This window comes from Homo sapiens, chromosome 7, assembly GCF_000001405.40.
Source record: "Homo sapiens chromosome 7, GRCh38.p14 Primary Assembly".
Taxonomy (NCBI): domain Eukaryota; kingdom Metazoa; phylum Chordata; class Mammalia; order Primates; family Hominidae; genus Homo; species Homo sapiens.
In genome coordinates, this window is record NC_000007.14 from 77,588,951 (window position 1) to 77,602,305 (window position 13,355).

Sequence of the window (13,355 nt, forward strand, 5' to 3'; positions counted from 1 at the left end):
CAACCTCCATCTCCCGGGTTCAGGTATATTTCCTGTCTCAGCCTCCCGAGTAGCTGGGACTACAGGCGCCTACCACCATGGCTCAGCTCATTTTTGTATTTTTAGTAGAGATGGGGTTTCACTGTGTTGGCCAGGCTGGTCTCGAACTCCTGACCTCAGGTGATCCGACCGCCTTTGTCTCCCAAAGTGCTGGGATTACAGGCATATAATCCCATGTAATCCACCGCACCAGGCCTGAATATCTTGATTAGTCTGTTTGTTAATACCACAGTATGTTTTGTTTGTTTCCTATCTTCAAAACTGAGAGAAGATAATTTCTTACCCTGATTTTCTAACATTGGTATTTTTATGCTATGTCGAAGTAAAATTTATTTCAAAGCTATTCTGGTATCCTACAGCATCATATTCTGTCCTCACTGTAGGAGGTAATGATATATTTACAGATAATTCATATTTAAATAAAACTTATAAAGTGTGGTCTTCTATAAATATGGCATACAAATCAAACTTACAAATTACATAGTGATTTTATTTGAAGTTTTTTAATACTAATGTAGTTAATATATTTAAAATTATCTTTAGTTTGTAAATATGTTAATTTTTTCAGTAAGCAATATATTGCAAAAGATACATCTTTCAGTTATATTACATAAATAATTGGGAAGCCTTAATTTATTCCATTACTCCCAACTATTTCCTATGTCAGTATTAAGTAATGTTGGACAGAAAGTGAATAAAATGAGAAAATATAAAAACTGAGAAATTATTAAGTAATCAAGTTATCTATTTAAGGGTTGTCAATATATACATTAATATTATTAATCAATTGTCTAAGAGAATTTAAATGTCATTCTCCTAATGTTTTAAGTTACTGTTAAGGTTTAGGATGTATTTCTCTTTTCATTATATTAGTAAGCTCATAGTATGTATCAAGTTATTGATGAAAAATCAAGTAGCATTGAGTACATAATTTTTTGAAGCGAAAGGTTTTTGTGATTCACTGTGTCTTATTAGTAATAGATTATGAGCAAGTTAGGAACTATGAAATTATCTGATAACCTTGACTTTGATCTTGACTTTGAATGTGACCTGGTGGAAAAAGCATAGATAATTAAATCAGACAAACCTACCTTTTACAAGCATTTTGACCATGGTGCAGTACAGTTCACTCTGAGCTTCAGTTTCCTCACATTTGAAAGGAAATAATACCCACCTTGCAGTGTTAGAGATTATGTATGTATGATATTTAACACATAGTTTTTGATATCATTATTAGTTTTATACCAGGAATATAAGTACCAATATAATCTTATTACTGCTCATCTGAATGAGGGGCATTGTTAGTCACACCGCTTTCTATTCTTAACTAAATTAATCTCTTACAACTTGTTTTCTATCTGTTTCAAAGTATTAAAGTTTTGTCAGGTAAAAGATTAAAAAAATGTTTTTTAAACTCTCAAAAATAATTTAAGGTCCAAGTGTAAGTATAGTGGCTCACACCTGTAATCCCAGCTACTTGGGAGGCTAGGGTGGGAGAATTGCTTGAGCCCAGGAGTTTGAGACCAGCTTTGGCAACATGGCAAGACCCCATCTCTATTTTTTTTAAATCTTTTTTTTTTTTTTGTGGGGAGAGACAGTCTCGCTCTGTCGCCCAGGCTTGAGTGCAGTGGCACAATCTCAGCTCTTTGCAACCTGCATCTCCCAGGTTCAAACGATTCTCATGTCTCAGCCTCCTGAGTAGCTGGGATTAAAGGCATGTGCCACCATGCCTGGCTAATTTTTTTGTATTTTTGAGTAGAGACAAGGTTTTGCCATGTTGGCCAGTCTGGTCTTGAACTCCTTGCCTTAAGTCATCCACCCACGTTGGCCTTCCAAAGTGCTGGGATTATAGGCATGAGCCACCACGCCCGGCCTCCATCTATTAAAAAAAAAAAAAATTAGCCGGTTGTGGTGGCACACGCCTGTGGTCCCAGCTACTCAGGAGGCTGAGGTGGGAAGATCACTTGAGCCCAGAAGGTAGAGGCTGCAGTGAGCCGTGATTGCACCACTGCACACTCCAGCCTGGGTGACAAAGTGAGACCCTATCTAAAAAAAGAGAGAATTTAATTTAATCATTTTCTGTAAACATCTCTTGGAAAATGAGATTTGGAAGTTACCTGTGTTTTTAAGCCTCTAAAATGTTAGCTAACCCAACATACCAGACAGTTCTACTTTGTTTCTCTGTGAGCATTACTGTCAACTTATAGTTCATTCAGCCTATAGGTAATAACTCCATTTACTGTATTTGGAACTGTGAAGATTTAATTAGGAATTCATTAACCAATGCATTTCCCACTGCTTAAAAGGTTTATTTAAGCTAGATGGTCACTTAGAGACTTTGATTTTATTGGGCCTTGATACAAATTGCATCATTTCTTAATACCTGAATCATTCTATTTTCCATAAAGTTAGGCTTTTCATTCACTTAACTGATTTTCTAAAATGATGAGGTGCTTGATATTAGAAACTGATGAAAATTTATCATTCTTTTTCTATACCTGTTTAAAATAGGAAGGTAAGAGGAGAAATTATTTGACTACACTTTCTGTAATCTCTAATAAAATTGAATAGTTAATACATCATGTTTGTGTAGGGCTTTTACCATCTGTGGTACATTTGAAATACACTGTTATTTAACAAACATGCAACAACTCTGTAAGATAAGGATTATTATTCCTATTTTTACAGATAAAGAAACTAAAGGTCAATAAAGGAGTAGAATTAGTACTTGCAAAATTCTTCTGATTCCAAGTAGAATATTCTTTCCACTTCATCACATATTTTACATTTAATGAGAATTCAGCCAGATATTTGTAGAGATTGTCATGTTACAAGCAATACAACTTACCTAGCAACCTTTATACCAAATACCTCCTTGTACCAGACACTTTTTTAAAATTAGTTTTTCTTGTCTAGAGGAGGATCTTTGGTCTACTCTGTAGACCTGGCAGATAGCAATGAACAGTTATGCACTTAAGTCAGTAAGGTTCTTATGACTATTCTTGGAGAAGACACAGTAGCCTATTTTTTAAAACAACTGGGTAAATCTAAGCTCTCTCAGCTCCATGCCTGCTAATGTGGGTTTTTCTGTTTTGGGGAAGTAGAAGTAAGCAGAACCTCAGGACACAAAATATTTATAACAGTTTAAGAAAAACTTACATGAATTACTTACTAATTTTTTTTTTTGGATGACAGAAAAAATGTGAGCGCTATTGGCCTTTGTATGGAGAAGACCCCATAACGTTTGCACCATTTAAAATTTCTTGTGTAAGTATCCATTTTTGTAAACACTTTTTTCAGAAAATTGGCATGCTATACTGATGAATAATTAAATTATAATGTGGTATGAACCCAGGCTTATAGACGCCAAGGACTCACAAACCTATGCTTACATTTAAAAAAATTTTGTTTATATACTGCTTTTAAATTTGGAAGCTTTTGGGTTGACTTCATAAATGCATATTTTCCTTGTATCTTACTATATTGATTGTGTGTTAGTCTTTGTATATCAATTGATAGTAGGTGTTTACATGTAAATGAAGTAACTGTGCTTTTAATATTTGGAAATCGTGTATTCATTTCAAATTGATTAAATGGGAAAGACTTGGTAACTGGAGTACAGTGTATCATATTAACCCTTCATATCTAATTGTGCTCTCAAAAATTGTTATAATTATATATAAAGATAAGTTTAAGACCTACCATACTGGAAGTAAAGATTGGTCCTGTCTGGCAGATTATTTGATATGAAACTTAAAATGTTTTCTTAATATGTAATGACCTCTGGAAATGAATTAAATTCAAGCTCAAAAGCTAACACAGCAAAAATCTGAGAAAATGAATAAAAAAATGAAAACAGTGAAGGAAATAGGAGTAGGAAAAAGAAAGGCATGGACAAAAAGAAGGAAAATATAAGTGAATTTTAAAATAGAACCAAGTTTTCTTTAGGTGCCATAAAAAGACTGTAATTGAACATAACCTAAAAATCAATTAATTTAGGCCAGGCACAGTAGCTCATGCCTGTATCCTACCACTTTGAGAGGCCAAGGCGAGTGGATCACTTGAGGTCAGGAGTTCGAGACCAGCCTGGACAACATGGCAAAACTCCTTTTCTACTAAAAATACAAAAATTAGCTGGGTATGGTGGTGGGCACCTGTAATCCCAGCTACTTGGGAGGCTGAGGCACGAGAATTGCTTGAATCTGGGAGGTGGAGGTTGCAGTGAGCTGAAATTGCACCACTGCACTCCAGTCTGGGCGACAAGGGTGAAACTCCATCTCAAAAAAAAAAAAAAAATTAATGAATTTGCCTATATTAGGGTTCTCCAGAGAAGCAGAACCAATAGAATAAGAGTGTGTGTGCATGCGTCTGTGTGCATGTGTATACATTTAAGGAGATTTATTACGAGGAATTGGCTCAGGCAGTTATGGAGGCTGGCCAGTCCAAAATCTGCAGGGTAGGCTGGAGATCCTGGAGAGCCAATGCTGCAGTTTCAGTCTGAATGCTGATAAGCTGGAGACCCAGGAGAGCTGATGTTCAGTTCTAGTTGGAAAAGTCTGTTGTAGAATCAGGATGAGCCAATGTTGCAGATGAAGGCAGCCTGCTGGAGAATTCTGTCTTGCTTCAGGAGGCTGGTCCTTTTGTTGTATTCAGGCCTTCAACAGATTGGATGAGGCCCAACAACATTATGGAGGACAGTTTGCTTTACTCAGAGACTACCAGTTTAAATGTTAATCTTCTCCAAAAACAGTGTCACAGAAATAACTAGAATAATGTTTGACCAAATATTCTGGGCACACTGTGGCCCAGCCAAGTTGACAGATAAAATTAAATATCACATTCCTTATTCAGAGTTTCTTGTTTTTGACTTTGTTTTCCATGATTAAACGAAATATAATTTCTGTGGTTTTACTTGTCATTGCTGAGTTCTTGAACTCCATAATTTTATGACTTAGTTATACTCATGACTTCTGAATTCCTCTCATACATACCCAAAGTTTAGTGCTTTCTAGGTTGACATAAAAAAGGACAGGACTGTATCTGTATTATGCTGTCTACTTTATAAATCAATGTTGTTTTTATAATGTTAACTATAACTCACCATTGAACTTTTTGGATGTAGTATTTAGTCAATATTCTTAAGGTGCTGATTAGAATTAACTATTTGTGGGGTAAATGTAAAAATTTTAGGCCAGGTGCAGTGGCTCACACCTGTCATCCCAGCACTTTGGGAGGCTGAGGTGGGGAGGATTGCTTGAGCCCAGGAGTTTGAGACAAGCCCGGGCAAAATAGTGAGACATTATTAACATTTTTAAAAACGTTAAAAATCCCACTGCATTTCCTTTTATTTGGCTTGAATAATACCCAATACACACCACACTGTCTACTTCAGTGGGGAAATACCAACCCTCCTTCACCAATCCAGAAAGAAATCTGTAATATTAGATTCCTCGACAGTGTAGAAACCTAGTTCTGTGTAGTATGGTTGTTTTGGACATTTGTAAATTTATTTTTAAAGTTTTATTTGTATATATCTTTTTGAGACAGGATTTTGCCCTGTCAGCCAGGTTGGAGTGCAGTGGTCTGATCATGGCCCACTGCAGCCTCAATCCCCCAGGCTCAAGTGATTCTCTCACCTCAGCTTCCCAAGTAGTCGGGGCTGCTGGCATGGGCCACTACTAATTTTTGTCTTTTTGTAGAGACGAGGTCTCCCTGTGTTGCCCAGGCTGATTTTAAACTCCTGAGCTCAAGCAGTTTGCCCGCCTTGGCCTCCCAAAGTACTAGGACTACAGGCCACCACACCCGGCCAAACATTTGTAAATTTAGATGTAATAAGATAACTATAGTGAATATTATAATTCAAGAGAAAATACAGTGCTTAACATCAACAACAAACCAACTTGAAATTTTTGAACATTTGAGAGTCAGGAATAGTAAACAATTTACAATAATGGATATAAGGCAGAATGCAATAGTTTATAATGTAGAAAATGAATTGATTCTTGGGGGATGGTTTTTCAATTAAACTAAAAGGTATATCTCTATAAATGGTTCACAAAGAAAAAACAAAACATGGAGAAAGATTTATTAAAAAGAAAACAGATAACTTGAAAGGTCTCTAGATAAGTGGTTTGGTTTGATTTGATTAGTAACGACTTGGTTTAATTTGTCAGCGTCAGGATTGATCCATGCTGAAGAAATATTTTCTTTGATAATTTTAAAATGGAAGGTAATTTGTTTGTCTTATAATTGGTTCAGACAACTCGGGATTTGTTATCATTGACTTAACTGCAAAGAAAAATCAAATTTATAAATAGCATGTTGGTAAAAATATTCGTAGTAAGTCATTTGACTACTTGGCAGTCAGAGTTTGAGACTGAGAAATGACTGTCTTTTCTAGAGCTCTCTCTCGATGTGGGATGAGGACAAGGGTAAAGTGGTGGTGAAAGGGTGAAGACTGGTTAGCAGGAGCTCAATCACATGTTGCCACATGTAAGCACTTAGACTGGATGTCAGCACACTACCCATGGCTCAGATCTAGCCCACTGCCTGTTTCGTAAATAAAGTTTTGTTAGAACACATCTATATGCATTAATTTATGAATTTGTCTATCACAATAGCAAAGTTGTGTAGACAAAGACTTTGTGGCCCAAAAAGCCAAAAATATTTACTATCTGGTCCTTTACAGAAATATTTGAAAAAGTTCAAATATTATTTGAAAAGTTCAAAGTAAATTACTGTAATTTTAAAAATTAAAGCAGGTATAATAGTATTATTTTTATTAATAAAACAACATACACTGTTGTTCTTCATAATCCTTGTTCTAAACTATCTGTAGTTTTAACCAATAAGGCAAAAAGAATAATTTGCTTAGTGATAGACTGATGTAGATTAACACTTTGACTAAATCACAGTAAGAGACCTTTAAAGTGGTTATGTTATCAACAACCACAATAATAATAATAATTTGGGGTGTTCTTCCCTCTTCCTTCTTCAGTTGCTATCCAGTTAATTGAAACTTGAATGTTAGGGAAAATCATGTGTTATGGAAAGGTAAAATGGTTGAAGATAGGATATGGTGGTTGGTACTGAGGAATGACATTCTATGTATATTTACATGATTCTGGGGGTGGTTACTACTTTGCAGATATTTTATTGGGTGGTAGATGCTTAAGTAATTCGTTTAGACACTTTTTTTTAGGTATAAGTAAAACTTACAAAAGCAAATTGATGTTTTTTTCTTTACTGTCTATACAAATTTTTTTAATGAATTTTTTTTCTTCAAGTTTCTTAGTTTAGTAGGTAACTTGATTCCCAAATTCACTTCTCTTATTTGTACATATTGTTTGGGTCTATCTGTTAGGAGACTTTATCTGATAGGAGACTTCATTTTAAGGTTTTTAAAAAAATTTTTTTTTTAGTGTTTTTTGTTTTGAGACAGGGTCTCACTGTGTCACCCAGACTGGAATGCAGCGACGTGATCGCAGCTCACTATATAGCCTTGGCCTCACTGCTGGGCTTAGTGATCCACCTACCTCAGCCTCCCAAGTAGCTGAGAGCACAGGCTTACGCCTCAATGTCCAGCTAGTTTTTGTATTTTTTTGTAGAGACAGGGTTCTGCTATATTGTTCAGGCTGGTCTTGAACCCCTAGGCTAAAGCGATCCGTCCACCTCAGCCTCTCAAACTACTGGCATTACAGGTGTGAGCCACTGCCTAACTTTTTCAAGACTATTTTTTTTAGAGCAGTTTTAGGTTTACAGCAAAATTGAGAGGAAGGTACAGAGATTTCTTATATACACCCTGTCCCCACACATGTAGCCCTCATTATCAACATTCCCTACCAGAGCAGTCTCTTTGTTACAATTCACAAACCTACATTGACAAGTCATTATCACCAAGAGTTCACATTTTACATTAGGGTTCATTCTTGGTGCTATACATTCTGTGGGTTTGAAGAAATATATGATGACGTGTATCCACCATTGTGGTATCATACAGAATAGTGTCATTGCTCTAAAAGTCCTGTGCTCCACCTATTCATTCATCTCACCCCCTTCCCAACCCTAGGTAGTCATTATTTTTACTGTCTCCATAGTTTTGCCTTTTTCAGAAGTCATATAGTTTGTTTTTGTTTGTTTGTTTGTTTGTTTTGAGACGGAGTCTTGCTCTGTCGCCCAGGCTGGAGTGCGGTGGCACTATCTCAGCTCACTATAACCTCTGCCTCCTGGGTTCAAGCAATTCTACTGCCTCAACCTCCTGAGTAGCTGGGATTACAGGTGCGCGCCACCACACACAGCTAAGTTTTGTATTTTCGTAGAGATGGGGTTTTACCATGTTGGCCAGGCTGGTCTCGAACTCCTGACCTCAAGTGATCCACCTGCCTCAGCCTCCTGAAGTGCTGGAATTACAGGCATGAGCCACTGCTCCCAGCTCAGAAGTCATATAGTTTGAATCATACAGTATGTAGCCTTTTCAGATTGGCTTATTTCACTTAGTAATGTGCATTTAGGGTTCATCCATGTCTTTTCATGGCTTACTAGCTCTTTTTTTCCTTTTATTATTTTTAATTGACACATAGTATCTATACTTATTAATGGGGTACATGTGATTTTGGTACATGTATGTGTAATTTAAAATGTGGAGTGACTAAATCAGGATAATTAGCATGTCTATCACTTCAAACATTTCAAATGTTTGATGACTTTTAGAATTTTTTTATAATTATCAGGTACATCTGGAATTTTAAAGATTAATTTTATATTGTGGACTTTGATACAAGTATTTTATTTGTTTTGATGTGTCTTTTTGTTTTAACGTTTTCACTGACTTAGAAATGTTTCTCTTTATTTAGGAGGATGAACAAGCAAGAACAGACTACTTCATCAGGACACTCTTACTTGAATTTCAAAATGTAGGTACTTACCATTTATAGACTATCTGTAAGAATAGTTTTCAGGCTGGGTGCAGTGGCTCATGCCTGTAATCCCAACACTTTGGGAGGCTGAAGTGGGAGGGTGACTTGAGTCCAGGGGTTCAAGACTAGCCTGGGCAACATAGTGAGATCTTGTGTCTACAAAAAGAAAAAAGTTAGCCGGGCATGGTGGCATGTGCCCATAGTCCCACTCACTCAGAAGGCTGAGCCCGGGAGGTTGAGGCTGCAGTGAGCCATGATTGTGCCACTGCACTCCAGCCTGGGCAACAGAGGGAGACTCTCAAAAATGGTTTTGAGAATAGAGAATAGTTTTCAAAGAGAAGACATAGAGAGGGAGGGGAGCGTGGGCTGAAAAACCACCTATTGGGTAGTATGCTCACTCCTTTGGTAAGGATCATTTGTATTCCAGACCTCAGCATTATACAATACACCCATGTAAGCTGCACATGTACCCCTTAATCCAAAATAAAAGTTGAGGCCAGGTATGGTGGCTCACTCCTGTAATCCCCAACACTTTGGGTGGCTGAGGTGGGTTGGTCACTTGAGGCCAGGAGTTCAAGACCAGCCTGGCCAACACGGCGAAGCCCCATCTCTACTAAAAAATACTAAAATTAGCTGGGCATGGTGGTGCACACCTATAATCCCAGCTACTCAGGAGGCTGAGGCACTTGAATTGCTTGAGCCTGGGAGACAGAGGTTGCAATAAGCCGAGATGGTGCCACTGCACTCTAGCCTGGGCAACAGAGCAAGACTCTGTCTCAAAAAATAAAATAAAAAATAAAATAAATGTTTTAAAAATAGAAAATATAATACTACTACCTAAATGTTTTATTTGGTAAAATGGGTTTGCTAGAAAATTATTTTGCTTTATATCTGCAAAATGCAAATAATATATATAATATATATTATTATTTTGCTTTATATCTGCTTTATAGTTTTTTGTAAGTAAAAAAAGTAACAGCAATTTTTATTTTTAAAGCATGTGAAGTTAGTTTTTGTCTTTGCAAACTAATCAACTTTTAGCTACTAAAAAAATAAAACAAGCTATATAAATAGTATACTATGTTATTTAACATAATTAATGAAATTTGGTAATTTTTTAGTTACGAAGATGAAATGAGAGTGTAATATTTAGTCTTGACATTTATGCTTATCACATTACATAAAAAGTAATATTAATTATAACATACCCTAAATTTGTTAAATTTGGAATAGTTATACCTTCTTTGCAGCAAATATTTTTATTCTATTGCAGTAAGCAGGTTATTGCATTGTTTATATAATTATTACCCTGTTTTACTGGTTTACAATTTGTTAAAGAAAAGTCACTATCAAAGCTAAGTCTTCATTTAGATATATATTGTTTTTAGTTGAAACCCCCCACAGCGCCCCGACTTTTTTTTTTTTTTTTTTGGCAACAGGGTCTCACTATATATTGCCCAGGCTGGACTCAAACTCCTGAGCTCAAGCAGTCCTCCCATCTCCACCTTCCTAGTATCTGAGACTATAGGGATGAGCCACCAAACCCAGCTAAATTTTTTATAGTTTATAGAGATGAAGTCTTGCCATGTTGCTCAGGCTGCTGTCAAATTCCTGGCCTTGAGTGATCTTGCCTTTTGCATTGGCCACCCAAAGTGTTGGGATTACAGATGTGAGCCACTGAATCTGGACTGGTTGCTAATTTTTTAATCTACGGTAATAATAATAAGTACCTTAATGAATTTCTGTGGTAGATCAGGCATCTTAATTCTGCTAACTGCATCATATCCAGATACTGTTACGTCTGTTGCACATAGATGAAGATACAGAAGCTTTAAGAAGTTAAATAGCTTACCTGAAGTTATTTAGGAAATGGCCAAAGTAGGAATTTGAGTATGGTTTGCTTAGATTCCGAGTATTGCTCTTTCTGTTAAACACCTGCAATAACCATTCTCAAAACATTTGACATCAGTACTCCTTTACATTCTTCAAAGTTATTGAGGATCCCAAAGTTTTTGTTTCTGGGGGTTGTATCTTTCAGTATATACTATATTTGAAATTAAAACTGAGAAATTTTTAAAAAACATGAATACATAAGCATATATTGTATTGGCTGTTAAAGAATAAGGCACGTAACATTTTAGTATTATTCTGAGAATTATTTAAAGCTCATAGACTCCCTCAAAAGGGTTGAGGGGAGGGGGTACCCAGACCGTATATTGAGAACCACTAATCTGTAAGAAGACTAGTGAGTTTGGCATTGGACAAATTCATCTCTCCATTCTTTTTCAGTTTAATGTTCTGTTAGTCTTCTGATTACAATGAATACTACTCTAACCTACTCTAACATGGTGCTTACGGTATATTGCTCATCCATTTAATAGTGTAGATTAGTTAAATAGTATATATAGTGTTATGTTTACAGTACATGCTCTGGAAGTAGAACTGCCTGGTTTAGAGCCCACACTTGTCACTTCTTAGGAAAGTTTGGGCAAGTTATTTTATCTGTATATCTCAGTTATAAAATGAGGATGGTATTAACAGTACTTTCCTCATGGAAATTAAATTGTTACATGTGAAGCCCTTAGGTATTTGGCATGTGTTTAACAGTCAATAAGTGTTGGCTATTATTTATTTGGGTTTTTTTAAAAGCAGTGCTAAATGCCACACAAATTTCTTAGAAATGGCAGTTTAAATGAGCTGTGCAACTTTAAACTTTGCAAAGTATTTTCATAATTGTTGACTTTCTGTTTTTCTTGAAGGAATCTCGTAGGCTGTATCAGTTTCATTATGTGAACTGGCCAGACCATGATGTTCCTTCATCATTTGATTCTATTCTGGACATGATAAGCTTAATGAGGAAATATCAAGAACATGAAGATGTTCCTATTTGTATTCATTGCAGGTACAAAAGAATTTCCCAAGTTTATAAATACATTATTTAAGTTTGATGTTACACAAGGTTTTATTTCTGCATTAATATGTTAGTAATCTTGAATTTCTCCTAGCCTTGATACAATGTTTGGGACTAGGGCCTTGTAAGTTGATGTGGTCTCATTTGGTTGACAGACCGTTTAGAGTATTGTTGCATTAAAACACAGGATCATCTATTTGAAAATAGTATTCACATGGTGGGAAGCTATAGAACATACTCTTTTTACTGTTCACTGATTAGAGCATATAATCTCAGATCCTCATCATACTCTACTTTCTAAAGTCAGTATGGTAGTATTTTCTTTTAATCAATTTCCCTGAAACAATGACCAAGCAATTTTCATTCCTGATAAACACTGACATGAGATTTTTAAAAACAGGATATTGCTCTGATGCCCAGGTTGGAGTGCAGTGGCACAATCATAGCTTACTGTAAACTCAAACTCCTGGCCTGACGTGATCCTTCTGCCTCAGCTTCCCAAGTAGCTAGGACTACAGGCATGTGCTACCACACTGAACTAATTTTTTTTAATTAAAAAAAATTTTTTTTAAGAGACCAAGTCTTGCTCTGTTGCCCAGGCTGATCCGAACTCCTGTCCTCAAGTGATTCTCCCACTTTGCTCTCCCAGAGTCTTGGGCTTACAGGCGTGAGCCACTACGCCTGGCAACATGACTTTCTTTTTTTAATATATGTAAGATGTACATACGTAGGTCTTATTGATCTAAGATATCATCAATTCTAAGACACACCATTATTATATATATTAACAGTAAAAAAATCACTGCCAATTATAAGGGGACAATGTCATTTGTAAGAAGCCATTGGTGGTAAGATACATACCAATCTCAGAGCTGTTACATTGAGATGAAAAAGTGTGTTTTAGTTTGATGAAAAACTAAATGCTGTTTTTATTCTTGGGGAACATCAGTTTCCACGTTTGCACCACTTCCTGTCATATCATGAAATTTTATAATTTATAGCTACTGAAAAATTTAAAGCCGGAAGCAAGCATTCTTGTAGTAAAGTAATAAAAACTATTGATACACATTTACTAGACATTTTTATTATGTTTTATAGTAGATTACTTCATTATAAGGATTACATAAAATTCAATGATTACTGACCTAGTTAAGCTACCTCTGAATGTGAAAGGACAAGTATAGGTGCACCTACTTTAAATTGCACAATATAAATCTTTTCATTTATTCAAATAATATTTGAAGTTCAGTTAGGTTTTGCAAAATTACTCGTTTGGATGTGTTAAGAAATCATGTAAACTCTTCCTTTGACTTTGGGGGAATGAACATGAGATTTGTTTATTCTTGGGGGGCAGTTAATTTTGTATTCTAGAAGGGGGGTTAATGTATAATATATTTTAGCTAAGAGAAATCAGTTTAAGATAACCAACTTTTCTTAATCTAACATTTTGGCTTATTTCTGTCATCTGGTCATTCTCATACAAATAATAC

The 13,355-nt window shown here is 35.8% G+C and overlaps 1 protein-coding gene across 11 annotated transcripts in view; it reads left to right on the forward strand.

Annotated features, from left to right (window-relative positions):
* The window catches only part of PTPN12 (protein tyrosine phosphatase non-receptor type 12), a 102,775-nt gene that overhangs the window by 51,656 nt on the left and 37,764 nt on the right, over positions 1–13,355 (forward strand). For 10 of the 11 annotated variants that reach the window (XR_007060120.1, NM_002835.4, XM_006716073.5 and 7 more), the window contains 3 exons: positions 3,235–3,306; positions 8,892–8,951; positions 11,714–11,856. Coding sequence is in view for 10 of the 11 variants with exons in the window: in NM_002835.4 (NP_002826.3) it covers positions 3,235–3,306; positions 8,892–8,951; positions 11,714–11,856 (275 nt within the window). In the remaining variant the exon portion in view is untranslated. The remainder of the gene's footprint in view (positions 1–3,234; positions 3,307–8,891; positions 8,952–11,713; positions 11,857–13,355) is intronic. The other variant, XM_047420677.1, reaches the window with a different exon arrangement.